The 18,700-nt window shown below is 42.7% G+C and overlaps 1 annotated feature.

The window, feature by feature from the left end:
- Positions 11,442–11,736: a silencer, noted in NCBI's record as "tiled region #126; K562 Repressive non-DNase unmatched - State 21:Repr". NCBI's record gives its function as "represses a minimal TATA promoter and a strong SV40 promoter by Sharpr-MPRA in K562 cells {active_cell/tissue: K562}" and the evidence as "EXISTENCE:reporter gene assay evidence [ECO:0000049][PMID:27701403]".

Below are 18,700 nucleotides of genomic sequence, written 5' to 3' on the forward strand. Positions count from 1 at the left end.
CAGCATATCATGAAGTTATAGGGAGCTGGAGCTCCCGGGGTCTCTGGGCATCCTTTGTTCTATAGCTCAACAAGCCCTAGCCCTCGGGAAAGTTTTGAATAGCATCCCTTCCTCTTTCTGCCTTTAATCTTATTTGCAGAAAAAATTCATTTGAAATCCCATCCAAACCTCACAGTAGGATTTCCCTTTTAAATATCTGCCTGCCTGTTTTCCAAGCAGGAAGTGTGGCTAATCACAACATTGTAATTGGAAGAGCCCATAGAGGGCTCTCAGCGCCTGTGCTTAGCTCTGGTTACATTCCGCGTTCCTTGAGGCCTCAAGCAAGTGAGGTCTGCCACCAGGAGGGTGCTTCATCTCCACTGTGCCCCCAAACCTGGCCCCGCAGGGCATAGAGAGGAAAGAGGGGTGTCCTGGCTCTGGCCACCCCAGGTTACAGCCTCGGACTCTGCCGTTAGCCATACCCTCTCCACCTCCTGCTCCCAGCCTGCAGCCACGCAGCTCTGCCCACTCATTATCATTAAGCCTGAGCCATCTGAAAGGGACTAATTATCACAGCCCCAGCCCACAGTGCAGTGCAGATCTTGGAAAGGACAGTGCTGACAAGAAGCCTTTCCAGAACAAAGAAAGTCAAACAGATGCTAGACCCCGAGGAACAGCCACCTTATGAGTGGTAGAGGGGTGTGTGTGTGTGTGTACATGTGTGAGAGAGTGTGTGTATGTGACAGAAAGAACAGGTGTGAGTGTGTCTGTGAGAGACCATGTGTGAGAGTGTGTATGTGTGAGTGTGAATAGTGTGAGAGAACATGTGTGAGGGGGGTATGTGTGAGACAGAACTTGTGTGAGTGTGTGTGTGAGAGAGTGTGTGTGTGAGAAAACATGTGTGAAAGTGTGTGTGAGTGTGAGAAAGCATGTGTGCATGTGTAAGACAGGCAGCGGGTATGTGTATGTACACACACCGTGCACAGTATGTGAGCCTGTGGATGCATTAAGTCTGGAGAGGAGGACGTTTTTTGCTGGAGAAATCATTGAAGTTTAGATCAGGAAGCGTCTTGGATCTCAAGAACTGTCTCAGGATTCCAAGAGTTGTGTCTCTTTATAACTATAATATTGAGCACTGATTATGTGCCAGACTGTAGAAAGTATTTCACATGAATCCCAGCATACACCCTATGAACTATGTATACTATTATCTCCACTTTACAGATGAGGAAACAGAGACTCAGAGAGGTTAGGTCATTTCCTCAGTGTCACACAGCTAATTAATGATGGAGCTAAGGGTTGAATCGAGCAGTCTGATGACAGAGTAGTGCTCTAAACGCAATGTTAATGCTTCATCTTATTCCTAATATTAAAGATGCTGTGTGCACTAATTACCACCATTTTCACCCCTGGATCCGAATATTCACACCCATTTCCACAATAGCACAGGGTCTGGGCCAGAGGTTCTTAGATGTTGGTGAACATAAAACCACTTGGGGAGCTTGTTGGAACCCAGAGTCTCAGCTACATCTCGGTGATTCTGATTCCTTTTGTCTGAGGACCTAGGAATGTGCGTCTTCGACAAGCATTCCAGCCTGCAGTGAATTGCAGTGCTGAGATCACAGAGGTGTCTCTATCCTTGTTGAACACAGTGTCTCCCCGCCTCACCATTTCCAGCACTCTCTTGCTAGGGTCAGTGATGTGAAAGCACAAGACCAAAGCGGAGAGGTTGTCTTTTCCTCCAAGAAATTTGTTTTTATGATCCTAAAATTGAGGGAAAAAATAATCTATTTCATAGACTCCCTAAATATACCAAAAATAAAAAGCGAGCCAATTTATTTCAAGAGACTTTAAGTTCTGTGAGAGCAGGCATGGTGCCTGGCACTTACTAGACATGCAATTAAATATGTGTGAAATATTTGGAGATTCTATGAGTATGTGTGTAGTATTCGGAGATCCTATGAATGAATGCAGAACAAAACCAATCTACTCAGAATTTTTGGCATTTCTACTAATAAAGAAACTTGAAATCTTTAAAGCAGAGTTTCTCAATCACACTATTGATATTTTGGGCCTGATCATTCTTCATTGTGAGGATCTTCTGTGCATTGCAGGATGTAGAGCAGCATCCCTGGCCTCTACCCACTAGGTGCCAGTAGCAATCCCTCCCTGCCCAAAGTCAAGGCAACCTAAAATACCTCCAGGCGTTGCCCCATTTCACTGGGTGGCAAAATCACCCCTGGCTGAGAACCACTCATGTAAATAAAGCAAAAGTATTGAATATTTAATTCAGCTTCAAAAATTTCTGATACTTTCAGATATTATGTCCACTAACTAACATTCTAGCCTTCCCCCAAAGAAGTTTTTGTTTTTTTTTAATGGTCATAGAATTTCAGAAAACTTTGCATCTCTTTTCAGGAAACTTTTCTAACATGCTTTTGAAAAGAGATTAAAAGGGATAAAAAGTCTCAAATTTCAGAATACCAGGAATAGAATGCATATCGTAAGAGTTTTTAGAGAGGAAAAAAATACAGTATATATAAAAGAAAAGAAATTGGAATAATATAGGCCTTCTTCTAGATGCTAGAAGACGTACACAAATATTTTCAAAATTCTGAGGTAAAGTTATTTTCCATCTAGAATTGTATACTCAGTCCAGTATTCAATCAAATATGAGATCTGAATAAATTTATACTTGGACTTGCAAATAATCAAAAAATTTACCTCCGGCCAGGCACAGTGGCTTATGCCTGTAATCCCAGCACTTTGGGAGGCCAAGGCAGGTGATCACAAGGTTGAGACCAGCCTGGCCAATATGGTGAAACCACGTCTCTACTAAAAATACAAAAATTAGCCAGGCATAGTGGCAGGTGCATGTAGTCCCAGCTACTCGGAAGGCTGAGGCAGAAGAATCGCTTGAACCCGGGAGGTGGAGGTTGCAGTGAGCCAAGACTGAGCCACTGCCCTCCACCCTGGGTGACAGAGAGAGACTCCGTCTAAAAAAAAAAATTTACTTCCATATGCCCTTTCTTACAAAGCTCCTGAAAGATATCCTTCCACAAATGGAGAGATTCAACCAAAAAGAAACGTGAGCTCCAGGGAAGAGGATATCTGACATGGACAGAGGATGTAGACGTCCCCCACACCCAAATAGCAACCCCGTCCAAATCTGAGAGAGGGTGAGGACTCTGCGACAGGAGTCTGTGGGAGGAAAAATAGAGATGATCAAGTGTTTGCAACTGGACAAATCATTGATAGACATTGATTGACAGATGTGTTAGTAAATTTGGAGAAATCGTAATGATATGTATTTAGAACTGAGCAAGTGAAAAAGGGCAATTATTTACCTCAGAAATAATTGAGGAAAATAATTCAGAAATAAATGAGGAAAATGATTATGTTACACATTTTGACTGGGCAGTGAACAAGATTTGCACAGTCATAGCAATGTAAACACTGACTTTTTTTTTTTGAGACATTCTCATTCTGTCACCCAGGCAAGAGTGCAGCAGCACGATCTCAGCTCACTGCAACCTCAACCTCACAGGTTCAAGCAATGCTCATGCCTCAGCCTCCCGAATAGCTGGGACTACAGCCGCCCACCACCATGCCCGGCTAACTTTTGTATTTTTTGTAGAGACAGGGTTTCGCTGTGTTGGCCAGGCTGGTCTCGAACTCCTGGCCTCAAGTGATCCACCCACCTTGGCCTCCCAGAGTGCTGGGATTACAGGTGTGAGCCACTGCACCCAGGAACACTGACTATGAATTGAATTAAAATCATGATTAAGTATATACTATGGCTTGAATGCGTCCATTCCAAATTCACGTTGAAACTTATTGCCACTGTGGTGTTATGAAGAGGTGACGCCTTTTGAGAAGTGATTAAGTCATGAGGCCCTTGTGAATGGACTAGTGCCTTATAAAAGGGCTGGAGGGAACTAGCTTAGGCCCTTTTCTGCTCCTTCTCTCCTCCACCGTGTGAAGACACCTAGACAGCATCCTCTATGAGGAACAGCCCCTAAACCTGCTGGCACTTTGATCTTGAATTTCCCAGCCTCCAGAACTGTGAGAAATAAATCTCTATTGTTTATGAATCACCCTGTCTCAGGTACTTTGTTCTAGTAGACCAGCTAAGACAAAATATCCAAAGAATGTTGGTAAGAGAAGAGGGAGGGGGGGTAAGAGAGCTAAATTATTACCTAACACACCAAAAGTCCATAGAGAAGGACTAAAGCATGAAGTCACGTATGTGCATATTATTTGGAAACAGTATGTGCCAGTCAATGCCAGAAGAAAGGATTAAGAGAGTTGAAAGCGGTTGCCTCTGGAGAAAAAGACTCGAAATGGGGGGAGGGGAGTGAAGGACCACTGCTGTTTGTTAGAGGCTTTTTTCTCCCTGTTGTTTAACTGTGTGCACGTGTTACCTTCGTAAAAGCAAAGGCCATCTTAGAGATCTAATAAATGACAAACTGTATAGACATGACTCTGGTACCTGGAGCACAGTGAGTGCACTGACACCAGTAGCTGGGAGGACTATTATTACGGATGCCCCAGTGGCACTTGCCATGTGCCTGCTCCTGCCATCCAGTGAACGGCTGGCTCCCTCTCTCCTGCTCCCTCTGTCCATGCAGAATCGAGTGTTCATATTAGGAACGACATCGGTGCATTGTTTGTGGGGCTTTCTCTCCATTTTCACTTCCATCACCTACTAGCCTTCTTGCTGCCATTTGCTTCAGGGCTTTCCTGCCCCTCTGCCTGGAACGCCTGCCTCCCTGATGCTGCCTCCCAGACATGCTTATCTCTTCCCTCTTCAGCCTCTCTTGACATTTTCTCCTAGCAGAGGCCTTCCCTTGCCATCCCACCTAAAAATAGCAACTTCAACCCTCTACTCTCTCCCCTTGCCCTACTTTAGTTCATTTCTAGCACTTATCACTGCCTGAAATATCTGTTTACCTGCCAACTCCCTCTCTCTCAATTGATTATAAACTCCAAGAGGCAAGGACTTTGACTTTGCTGATATATTCCCAGCACTAGAACTATGCCTGGTGCACAGTAAGAACTAAATAGCTATTTGTTAAGTAGATGGATGATTGAATGGGTAGAAAGATGGATGAATGAATAAATGAATCATTTAATACTCTCATGGTATGAATTGGGTCTCAGCCTAGAGCTTGTGCAGTTCTAGGGTTAATTTTCAGGTGGCCTCAGATTATTTCCAGAGACTGTTTCCTCTGTCCCTGTATCTACCGCACCTATCAAAGCCTGTCCTTCCCCCACTCTTTCCCTCTACTTCCGTATATTTCTTCTAAGTGCAGGTCTCCATGTCTGAGGAAGGAACCTACTGTGAGCTTCTTCAGTTGATAGGTTTCAGCATGTATTTTGCATAGTGAAATGGCTTTTTTTTTTTTTTTTGAGACGGAATCTTGCTCTGCCACCGAGGCTGGAGTGCAGTGGCGCCATCCTAGCTCACTGCAATCTCCACCTCCAGGGTTCCAGCAATTCTCCTGCCTCAGCCTCTGGAGTAGCCGGGATTACAGGTGCCCGCCACCACACCCGGCTAATTTTTGTGTTTTTAGTAGAGACAGGGTTTCGCCATATTGGCCAGGCTGGTCTCAAACTCCTGACCTCAGGTGATCTGCCCACCTCAGCCTTCCAAAATGCTAGGATTACATGTGTGAGCCACTGCATCCAGCCTGAGATAGCTTTTTAAGCCTGGGCATCAGATTTCTAAGAGCATGAGACAAGAACAGCTACTGGTGTGATGTAATAAACAACGCAGGTGCACTTGACAGAGAGAAAGGCCCCAGGAAATTGCGCCATCATGTCTCATTTGTACCTGCAGGGTTTTAACTTATGGAGGTGACTGAGTGACAACACACAGAGGCCAATGCCACTGAAAGAAGACTGGTACTACTCACATGCATGGAAGGGGCATGCCATGCCACACAGGGCCACCTAGAGCAGCACCAAGGTTTGGTTAGAAGGCAGAAGCAGGTGTGAGGGGAAGAACTAGGCCAGACCCTTAATGGAATTTCCATGGGAAAAGCAAGGCAGGGCAGGGGAAACAGCTGAGGACTATCTAGTTTGAATAGTGTCAGTGGGCTCTGGATTATGGGGGTGGTCTCCAGCTGTCTAGTGCCTGGCCCTGGCTGATTTAGGCCAGGGGGAGTATTGGGTGGTGTGTGAGTTAGATAAGGAAGTGGTTCAGATTATGGGCTCTGGATCACATGGAGATGGAAGCAACTTTGGCTTAGTTTGGCCCTGTAGTTAATGGATGCCAGGTAGACGAACACAGACTCTAAGAAAGCATAGTTAGAACACCATCCCCACAACATTCACAAGCCTTTACTTAGCTGAAGCTAGAGATCTCAAGCTGAGAAAGACAAAGTGAATGGCAAACAGATTCTAGAATGTGATTTGCAAGCTGGTCACAGTGACATAGGCATGAGTCCCAGCTACTTGGGAGGCTGAGGTAGGAGGATCACTTGGGCTCAGGAGTTCAACACTGTAGTGTGCTCTGTTTGCACCAGTGAAGAGCCACCGCCCTCCAATCTGGGCAGCGTAGTGAGACTCATAGCTTTAAAAAATGTTTTAAATGGGCTTTGTGCCATCTATTAATTTCTGTCAGCACCAAAAATAACCTTGAAAAACATTCAATGGCATTAACAAGTACAAATATTTTATAATTCATATTTTTAAAATTCCTTTAACAAAAGCAAATTTACTATATAACTCATAAGATTCAAAAACTATACTATAGACTTCAAGGAAGTGTAAAAAATCTAAAGTAAGATGCTCTTTAGAAACTGATGGAATTTAAGCCAGTTACAGTGGCTCATGCCTATAATCCCAGCTGCTCAGGAGGCCGAGGTGGGAGCATTTCTTGAGACCAGGTGTTTGAGGCCGGCCCGGGCAACATAATGAGACCCTATCTCTAAAAAAAAATAATTTTTTTAAGAAATTGGAGGAATTTTATTTCGCAAAGAGCATTAGAAACCTCCCTTTTAAAATCAGAATAAATAATTGTATCAAATTAGTAACAATAATCCCAATTCATAAATAGGCAATTAGGCCTTCTCTAATTAACATGGGTCATATCAATATGACTGTGAAATACAAAAAAAAAAGTAATAATGAACTTGGGTTTACATATTTTGGTTTAAAAATGAAGGTTACTCTCCCACTCCCTGATGATGTTAAAATGTTTTTAGGAAAACTTAACATCTTCAAGACTGAGTATATCTGTTCTTGGTGGTCTCAGCGATGCTCAGAGACTTCCACTGAGTCTCATTGCTATCCCAGTGTTACTTCCCATTTGTGAAAACTGATGCCCAATAAACCAACAGGCATTTATTGGGCTGCACTGGGGTCGTCTTGAAGGTTGTTCATCTTTTTGCCCCTTGGACTTTAGGAAACACAACGGAGCTCAAACATGATAAGATCTGGATGAAGAACAGGTATGGAAGTGATGAGAGAAAAATTAAGATCTTAGCTAGGTTTAACTAACTAATCTAGGGATCAGATGGGCTGCAATCCTAGGACAGAGTTTCACAGGAAATGAGTCTCAGGCCAGGACCCAGTGACTGGACAGGTCTTAGGGAATGGGCGACCAAGTCTGTCGTTTTCCCAGGAGGGAAAAACGATGCTTGAAAGGGAGAGGGAGGGGCGTGAGCTGGTGGCCGGGGTGAGGGAGCAGAGGCCAGAACACACTGGGTCAGATGAGGCCTTTGGCTTGTTATGATAAGTAATAGGGAGTTCTAGAGGGATCTGGGTGGAAGAATGGCCTAAAAAGGCAGCATTTGAGCCAGATTGTTGTGAGGTCTGTGTCATTTACAGAGAAGGCTCTTAGAAGAGTCCAGGCATAAGACTATAGGCCACAGAGAAAAGGACAACCCATGGACGTATTTTAAAGAATAGCCTAATATTCTAAGTGATGAGATAGGGGGGCGGGGCAAGGTGTGTGCACCAGATAGTGGTTAAGGGCACGGGTCATGGGTTCCGGGAGACCTAAGAATCCCTGCCCCACCACTTACAACTGAGTGACCTTAGGCACACTGATTCATTCTTTCATCTGAGAACTGGAACAATGGCACCTGCCTCATGGAGTGGGAGGTTGGGGGTGGGGGGTTGTGAGGGCTAAAAGAGGGACCTGTGTTAGCAGAGGGTCTGAGGCATAGTAAGGGATCAATAAGTGGATAATAATATCTTTGATTTTTTAAATTTTAAAAGTTAGTATTAAGAGACAAGACTCCCTATAATTTTCACATTTCCAGGTGAGGAGATTGGGGCATGACAGACAGAACAGGGAGAGAAACTCCTTAGAGAGCTGGGCAGTGAGTCTCAATGAATCCAATAATACCCAAGTCCAGCCCCAGCATTTGAGAGGAGGTTCCTAGGCAATTAAAACACCACAGTTTAGATCTGGACACACGAATAGAGTTCAGAAATGAAAGGTACTCTTTAGGAAATAAAATATTAGGGAAATTGTTCGATTTTACTTCTAACCTGTGTCTTGCAAGGCATTGCTGAAAAGAATTCTATGGAAAGCATATGTTTTGCTCTGTGGATTAAACTTAAAAAATCCTCTAATTTAAATTAAAAATTAAAAAACAGGAAAGAAACGTTTCTGAAACTTGATCATTCGGTCCTGAAACTGACCATGCTTAGAACAGACGATTGAATAATTTCTGATTTTTTCTGGAGGTGTTTTTCTGTCTCTGGCCTTCTGTAATAAAAGTTTGCAATAGTCAGTTCTCAATTAGCTTTGTTAATGGAAAGGAGCAGTGACATAGATAAAAACAAACTACAGATAAGATGAAAAATGATTTACTGCCACTCATAGTTTCCCTCAACCCCCAACCTCTCCCCTTCTCAAATCCCTCCAATCAGCATCTACAGATCCCCAACGTGTGGTGTCAGAAGGAGACTGTGGGTCACACAGATAATCTACTCAAGGGTAATGGATTTGACTACAATTTAGCATTGATTAATTATAGTGTCCAATTTTAATTCAGTGCTATTCACTAACTAATTAGATAAGGATTTTCTACGTTCTATTTTTGCCTCAGAAAATTCTAAGCATAGGTACTTTAAAATTAGCAGTGCTGTTGAAATTTAATAATTATTTATCCCCAACCTCACAATGAATGCTGCTGCATGAGGGTCAGGAGACCTAGGTTCTTCCCAGTCCTACCCATGGCAGGGACTCTGTGACACCAGGTAATCAACTGCACCCCTCTGTGTTGTTTCCTTGCTTATAAAGTGGAGGTTGGGCAACGGGCTGGCTGAGGTTGTTTCCAGGGCTACCGTTCCCGTCTAGGTCATAGTTATGATGCATATCTTGTTTTTAACATTTGCCCTTAGACCTGTACTTATAAATTTATGGCAGTGGGTGTCAGCCAGGGGCAATTTTGCCCCTAGGGGACATTTGGAAATGTCTGGAGATTTTTGTTGTTGTTGTGACTTGGGGTTGCAGGGAGTCAGAGTGGTGTGTGATATCGGTATCTAGTGGGTAGAGGCCAGGGATACTATTAAATATCCTACAATGCCCAAGACAGTCCTCCACAACAAAGTATTATCTGGTCCAAAATGTCAATAGTGCTGAGACTGACAAACCCTAATGTATAAGAAAGTATTTGACACAGGTCAGTAGTCTAGGAATTACCCTATTTGGGAAGGTAAATAGAAATTTAAATTATGGGGTAATCAAATATTAAATTTGAACTTACAACTGAAGCACCAAAGATACCATAAATATAAAATTTCTAAAGTGAGGCACCAGACCACCAGGTGGAAATTTCAAAGAGTTATAAAAACTGAGCAGCCCTAAAACCGGCAAGGAGGATATAAAAGGGTTGAAAGCATGAATATTGAGAAAGGATCAATGAAAAGTGTCTTTCAGCAGAGGGCTGCTGCCCTATGTGACTCCTAATCCCGCCGCACAAGTGAAAGAGTTCCCTGGGGCTATTTTGAATTCTGCTCCTGAGAGTCTCCTGGGAGCGATGGGACTCCAAAGACTTTGTGGAGGGGAAGTTCTAGAAAACAAGGGATGAAAAGAGTGCAGCAGCTAGAGGAATAGTCTGCTTGGTCCACCTCTTGGGCCTAAAGTTGGAGGAACCCTCAGGGGAACTTCTGAACGGCCCAGCAACAGCCCCACGAGAGAAAGATTCACCTGTGAGCATCGGCCAGACCCGGACAGTGCAAAGCCATCTCTCAACCACGCCATTCACATAAGAGCTTTGCTGTACCCTTTTTCTTCTCCCCCTCGGGGCTCCGGCCCCACAGGAACATGGAAGAAAGTAGAAAAGCGAAAGAAAAAGCCACCATCTTTCCTTCTACAAAGGCACGTGGTCTGTAACAAACAGGCTATAGCTGGGGCAGGGAAAGGAGGTCTTACTTTTAAATATATATTGAAACATTGATTATATATTAGACTGGAATTCTATTTCTAATTCAAGACTGTGTTTTGGCTTAAGTGGTTAGTAGGACTTGCTACTCCTTAAGTGACTAGAACATTCCTGAAATCTATCCGGGCTTTCATCCAACAAAAAACTCCCGCACTGAATACGTTTTAAAGAGCACTGGAAGTCAAAAATAAGTTTCATTCCAATTACATCCTACTCCTTACACTTGTCAACATACCAGTTATATTTTCATTCTAGAAATGTAATCAAGGTTCCTTGTGAGCTATTTGCCTAAAGCAAAGAAAGAAAAAAAAAACCTTGTTAAACAAGCACCTTGTTTAAACAAGATGCTAAAACATAAAAATTTCTGAGTTCACAAAATATAATTTTTGGGTTCCTAATAATTTTTATTATTATTATTTTTAAGACTAGTCAACTTAAAAATTTTTAATCAACTTTATTGAACTTTGTCCTCTGAGGAAGAAACAATATCTCACGTCTCTGTCATTAGATTCAAAGCTCTCCAAAATTATAAACTCAGCTGTGAGTTCCCACCACGTATGGCCTGACTTTGGTTATCTCAATCGTCAAAATTTGACATTAATAGCATTGTCGTATTGTTTGAGGTTATGTATTTTCAGCTATTGACATATATTAAACATTTCAACTATTTTGTTAACTATAGAATCCTCGCACACTTAAAAACAATGAAACCCAGAATCTCATATTTGCATGCTCCTGGAGTAATTTCTCCTAGGTGTCCTCAAAGGCACAATCGAGAGGTTTGAGATTAGTAGAAATGTCATTCACAGATGGAAAAATGATTTTGTATTTATTTCATCTGCAACCATATGTAAATCTTCACCTAGAGATTTTTTTGAAATTAACTGTTAATATTGTTTCATTTTTTATGCTTCCCCCAAATGATTATAATTGAAGAGAAGGATAATAATAAGTGACTTTTGAATATTTCCTAGGGCCCCAGGATCCTCTATTAAATGTGTGGTCCATGAACCAGCAGCTTCAGCATGACCTGAGAGCTCATAACCTCGTCTCTACAAAAAATACAAAAAAAGTTAGCCAGGCATGGTGGTACACGCCTATGGTCTCAGCAACTTGGGAGGCTGAGGTGAGTGGATTGCTTGAACCTGGGGGTGGAGGTTGCAATGAGTCAAGCAACTACCGCACTCCGGCCTGGGAGATGGAGCCGGACACTGTCTCAAAAGAAAAAAAAAAGAAATGCAGAACCTCAGGCTGTTCCCCAGCCCTACTTAATCCAAATCTGCATTTAAACAAGATTCTTAGGTGATTCTCAAAAAGCATTCAAATTCGAGAAACACTGATGTAGACCACAAATGCAGATCTGCAACAATGCTAGATAACAATTTAACCCAAGATAACTAGGCGGAAATAACCTCGGTAGGATGAATTTATTTAGTGTCAATAAATAAATCAGCAGAAACAAAGTAAATCCATAACAATGAAAATCACTTTTAATCCAAAGAGAGTGCAAGAGGCTTTTTAGAAAGTGCCATCCATAAGCATAAGCAATTTTCCATGGAAATACAGCTAGAATTCAGTGTGTAACTCACAGAATTGTGCTGGGCAACTACTGCATAGGAATCACAGTTTTTCTAATAATCCCAACTGACTGATCATTGTGAACACTTTGTGTCCCTTTTTATGAGCTCCTAAACCAATGGACAAGGTCAGGAAGAAGATTTCTCTTTTTACGCTGGTTGGGTGATACCCACAGCTGTGGTTAAGCTGTGGTTCTTAATCTTTCCTACACATTTTCCTACACATTTTAGATTCGGTTGGCAAACTTCCCACAGTCCTATGCCTAGGCTGTAGGCCATACCAGTTATATCAGAATCTCCAGGGTTAGGACCCAGGCATCAGTAGCTTTTAAAAGTCTCCAAGAGATTGCAATGTGCAGCCTAATTTGGGGACCAAAGACCTATACAAATGAAACTGAAGGAGTTGTTTGACAATTATAGGGTATATTTATCAAAAGAAATAGCTGGCTGGGCACAGTGGCTCACGCCTGTAATCCTAACACTTTGGAAGGCCAAGGTGAAATTCAGGAGTTCAAGACCAGGCTGGGCAACATAGGCAGACCTCATCTCTAAAAAAAAAAAAAAAAAAAATTTAAATAGTGGGACATGGTTACACACACCTGTGGTCCCAGCTACTTAGGAGGCTGAGGTAGAAGAATGCCTTTGGCCCAAAAAATCAAAGCTGCAGTGAGCCATAATTGTGCCCCTGCACTCCAGCCTGAGTAACAAAGTAAGGCCCTGTCAAGAAAGAAGAGAGAAAGAGAGGGAGAAAAGAGAGAAGGAAGAGAAAGAAAGAAAGAGAGAGACAGAGAGAAAGAAAGAAAAGAAAAGAAAAGAAAAGAAAAGGAAAAGAAAAGAAAAGGGAAGGAAGGAAGGGAGGGAGGGAGTGAGGGAAAGAAAGAAAGAGAGAAAGAGAGAAAGAAGGAAAGAAAGAAAGAAAGAAAAGAAGGTTAATATTCATAAATTATGCCCCCTATTAGATTTGACAGGGATGGAGTAGGCGTAGCTGTCTACACTGACACAGTAACTCCCTCTCCCCCAACACCTATCACCCTTACTCAGATCTTCATCATCTCTGACCTAGACTACGTCTTGGCCAACCATACTCTATGTTACCCATCTCTCTACACTGCTCCCCCAACCAGCGGGTAGAGGGGAACAGACCATGCCCCTCCCCTACTTAAAACCCATCAAAGGCTCACCGTGGCCTACCTATAAGTTCCAAGCCCCTTAATCTGGCAACCCAGGCCTTCCATGGTTTATCCCATGCCAACACCTCCACCTCCATCTCCAGCTCTCCTCACCTCCAGGCTCCAGCCACTCTAGCCAGTAGCACACTCCACTTCGCCAAACCACTGCATGCCCCTGGGCCTTGGTCCATGCCTTCTCCTCACTTCTTGAACTGGCTGCCTCCTCACATCTCAAGGCCCTAGCTCAGGGATCACTCCTCCAGGAAGCCTCCACTTTCCCCACCCAACTCCCTTTAAAAGCTGCTTTTGACGGCCCTCCTTTGCACTACAAAGTCAAGGGGATAGCACATGAACAGCAGTGAGAAAGGATGATAGGTTCTGAAAAAGCAAATGAGTTCATGATTTCAGGGACAGGTGAGATATTGGTGCAAAAGAAATGAGAGTCTCAAGTAAAAACCAACTTGTGTCTATTATAAAGCAGGTGCACACAGCCAGGTGGTGGCAGGCTCTCTAAATCATAAGAGCTTGGATGAAAAAACAGACCCAAGTCACTTAAGGGGAGAATTTCTGCTGTTAAAACCACAAAAACTACATTACTCAATTTTTGAAAAACTAACTGAAGGGAGATGAATTCCTAAACTTTGGATGATAATTAGACTCTATATGACTCTATCTATAACTACCATCTAAACGTCTTCACAACCTTCAGACTGTGATGAAGTTTTAGGAGCATGTTGGTTTGGGTTACCATCTGTGTTAACTGTCCAGGAATCGCCTAGCATGGGTGATTCTTATCAAGACCTATAGAATAGGAAAAGAGGGCTATCATAGTAATCTGCTACCTAAAACAACAACAATGAAACTACCCAGCTAGATAACCGTGCTACCAGAGCCACATGGACTATTTCCAGAGCTGCCTCTGTGTGTGTATGTGTGTGTGTGTGTGTGTGTGTGTGTGCGTGCGTGCGTGCATGCCTCATTAATCACAATATTATTTTTAGTCCCTCTTCCAGTTGGTTCAGTTGAAGGATAGAAAATAACTAATGTTTATTGTGCACATATTTATACACTAAGTACTATGTTTGGAGTATTTTCCGTATATTTGCTTATGTCATTTTTACAACAACCTTGTGAAATAAGCATGATTATCTACTTCTTGCAAACAAAGAAACTGAAGCTCAGATAGCTCAACTAGGGATGGGAGGTGGATAAATGATGAGAAATCACTAAATGCGTAAAATGGGCATTATTTGAGTGATGGACACACTGAAAGTCCAGATTTCACTATATCCATGTAACAAAATTGCACTTGTACCCCTTAAATTTATACAAATGAAAGGAAAGAAAAATATAGCTTAAATAAGTTGCCCAAGATCACAGTTACTAAGATACTAATAAGTTCCATAAAACTACATCTTTATTGACAAAATAACAATGATAATAACATAATACAAGAGAAAAAAGGACACAAACTCCTCCAAAAATTTATGCCAAGTTCCAAGCAAACATGGCAACACATATACAAGTAGCTAACAGTATAGAGCTGTCCAGAGCTTCTCTGGACAGAGTGTGAGTTCATAAATAGCTCTTAAAGACACCAGCGAACCTTTGACTGCCCATACTCAACCCACAGAAGGTTCCCATGTTCCTATTTCCTTATCAGGGAATGTAATTTCTAACAGAGAGCAGAGCCTGAAAAATAAATACAAAGCCAAGGATATTCTAGGTAAGCACTAAAACATAACTTTTTAAATGTCAAATATATAGATATGTATTTTTCAGAGATCAGATGTTTCTCCTCATCTAAACATGTCATTATCAGACTTCTTTCCTAGAAATTGCCTTTTCCCTGGAAAACATGAACTTTCAAGTTAGCCGCAGAAGAGTGTGCTTAGGATTCAGACCACAATATTTCAATAAAACCCCTCCTCATGACCCAAGCCCATGTTTCAATATATAGGTTTTTCAAAAGCAGGTGTCTCATACCTCTTAGATACACTTTGAAAAATGGAGGAAAACCTCATTAGGATCTAGCTTTTTTATTATTATTATTTTATTTATTTATTTTGAGACAGAGTTTCGCTCTGATGCCCAAGCTGGAGTGCAACGGGGCAATCTTGGCTCACTGCAACCTCCATCTCCTGGGTTCAAGCGATTCTCCTGCCTCAGCCTTCCGAGTAGCTGGGACTACAGGTGCGTGCCACCACATCCGATTAATTTTTGTATTTTTAGCAGAGACAGGGTTTTGCCATGTTGGCCAAGCTGGTCCCAAACTCCTGACCTCAGGTGATTTGCCCACCTCAGCCTCCCAAAGTGTTGGGATTACAGGCATGAGCTATTGCCCCTGGCCTGGACCTAGTTTTTAAAAAAGAAATTACTAGTACGAAAAAATACATGGCCCAGTGTGGTGGCTCATACCTGTAATCTCAGCACTTTGGGAGGCCAGGAATTTGAAACCAGCCTGGCCAGCTAAGAGAGACCTTCTACCTACAAAAAAATACAAAACATATCTGGGCATGGCAGTGCGCACTTGTAGGCCCAGCTATTTGGGGGGCCGAGGCAGGAGGATTACTTGAGCCCGGCAGGTTGAGGCTACAGTGAGCCATGAGCACCTCATTGCACTCCAGCCTGGGAGGCTGGGTGACACAGCACGATCCTGTTTAAAAAAAATAAGTAAAAATAAGTACATAAACGTGCATCTCAACTTGCAGTTTGAGTGCAAGTTGACATTTCAGGGCTGACGTGACCTATTTGTGGTGATGACTGTATTATGCGCATGAACCCATTAATGTCTTCTGGATATGGTATCCTGTCCCATTCATCACATTAAGAATTTAGCAGCTGAAAACCCCAGATACACTGAGATTATCTGGCCAAAGAACACTGGTCTTACAGGATTAAAATGATAATCACACTCCAGAGACAACTAACAGTGAACTCAGATTAAAAAAAATCTCTCGACAATGGAAACCATCCTAAGATTTAAGAGAAAATCAATCAAGGAGCTACTCGACCCTAATCTGAGGTCTGTATTTGTTCACCAAGGTTCACAGTTATTTGTTTGCCTCCTGGCTTTAAGGAAAATGAACTAATAAAAAATAAAGTAAAATAAAATAAAATATTCCTGAATAACCCATGATACCCAAGAAGACCACCACACTTCCATGTTGCACGAAAGGAGCTTTTTCCAAGGTCAATGTGAGCTTTACTATATAGATTGTGTTTATATGTAAGATACAAGCACTTTTTAAACTGTCTGAAAATACTGGTAATCTGAAAACTGTGACTTGCTTAAAATCATACACTCTGTGATGTCTTTTCAATAGTCCCTGTGATCTTCTAATATGGGGAAGTGGTTTTTACCAAGCTAACCACCAGCCTTGAAATACCTAATGATGCCCTGAGACTGGAGGGAATCATTCCAAATTGCTCTAAATTGAACTTCCCATGGTAGGAACAAAGGGTGACACTTAACTCAAGGCCAACAGCCATGGACCTTGGGGGGTCTAATTTTCCACTCAGGATTCCAGTCTTGGGAACTTCAGGATTTTAAAGTACAGTGTCTCAATCTGGCATGCAGAGTGATCTTGCCCGTTTACCCAGAGAAAGAGCCTATGTGGTGGTTTTGTGATTTCCCTGAGATTCCCCATCTATGCTGGAAGCTGGAGAGCTCCAGGCTAGAGATGGAGCTAACCGGGGAAATGTCAAGTCGCTTGCCCCGGGTGTCATCATTTATTTACACAGAATCACCCAGATGTCAAAGTGTTCTCCTTAAAGATAAGCTACCTCATTCTCAAAACGCATGTCAGCCCTCTACACCAGACCTATTACAGTAAATCGTGAATGACAGAGCAAATCGACTCCCCTCTGGGAAGAATCACGCTTTATTAGGATATTTTTTGGTTGCAAAAAATAGAACTCCATTTGAGCTAGCTTAAGCAAAGGAAAGGTGTATTATAAGAATTCTGGGAGCATCTTAAAGAATACAAGAGCAGTTAAACAGCCAAGCTTCAGAAAGAGCAAGAAGCAGGAGTTGGGACATTGTTGAGAACTCTGCAAGTCTCCTTATCACAGCATCTGCTTCGTTCTTTCCCAGTCTTCCCGGTGGAAAACAGCCACTGCCAACATTTGCTTCACTTCTGTGCTCTCCATTCAAGACAGCATCCCAACTGACTTGCGTGGAGAAGTACAGGTTCTGACCCGTACTTCTGACCCACCAGCTATAAATCAGAATTCCATTTTCCCAAAGAAAGAATATGATGGACTTAGCCTGGATCACATGCCCACCACTCAACCAATCAACTGTGGATAGAGGGAAGGGTCATTTGTTCAAACATGGCTGCCCCCACTGAAACAGTGGGATGGGAAGATCAAGAAGGAATAAGGTGGACAGACTTAGCAGACAAAAATACAGAAGGCCCAGTCAAATGTAAATGTCATGTGAACAACTAATCATGTTTAAGTATTAGTATGTCCTCTGCAGGGCCCTGCTGAACCATAAGATATTAATCGATATTGCATAGAAAAGATTTCCATGATTTAAAAGGCTCAGGAAACACTGGGTAACATCTATGCGTTCATTGAATATTCGAATTCGTGCCTACTATGAGCCAGCCTCAAAATGCAACAGGATTTCTCAGAACTTTTTTTTTTTTAGAGACGGAGTCTCAGTCTCCGTCTCGCTCTGTAGCCCAGGCTGGAGTGCAGTGGCGCAATCTCGGCTCACTGCAAGCTCCGCCTCCCGGGTTCACGCCATTCTCCTGCCTCAGCCTCCCGAGTAGCTGGGACTACAGGCGCCTGCCACCACGCCCGGCTGATTTTTTTGTACTTTTAGTACAGACGGGGTTTCACCATGTTAGCCAGGATGGTCTCGATCTCCTGACCTCGTGATCCACCCGCCTCGGCCTCCCAAAGTGCTGGGATTACAGGCTTGAGCCACCGCGCCCGGCTGATTTCTCAGAACTTTTAATGCTTCAGTGTGTACTGTGACTCTCTGAGAGGGAAAATGGAGTAGACGGGGTTTCCCAAACTCATCTGACCAAATGCCTGGTGTTGCTTAGAACCCAGTCTGAGAAATGCCGATATAAGGCAAAGGAAGAATAATTATTATTATTGGCTGGGCACAGTGGCTCACGCCTGTAATCCCAGCACTTTAGGGGGGTTACTTGAGACCAGGAGTTTGAGATCAGCCAGGGCAACAAAGCAATATCCCATCTCTACAAAAAAATGAAAACATTATTAGGTTGGTGCAAAAGAAATTGTGGTTTTGCCACTGTGGCTACTTAGGAGGCTGAGGCAAGAGGATCACTTGGTCTGGGAAGTTCAAGGCTGCAGTGAGCCATGATCACATCACTGCACTTCACCCTGGGAGACAGAACAAGACCCTGTCTCTTTAAAAAAACTTATTATAATTATCATAGATTTTATATGTAGAGCGAGAGAAACAGAGAGCGAGAGAGAAGAATTATTTCAATTGGCAACCAGCTCCCAACAATCCTGGAGGTAGCCCAATGGAAATGCACATTCATGAAGTTCTTGGTATGTGCATTCTCGATAAAACTCTAAGGCC

Source organism: Homo sapiens, chromosome 2, assembly GCF_000001405.40.
Source record: "Homo sapiens chromosome 2, GRCh38.p14 Primary Assembly".
In the NCBI taxonomy this organism is placed as follows: domain Eukaryota; kingdom Metazoa; phylum Chordata; class Mammalia; order Primates; family Hominidae; genus Homo; species Homo sapiens.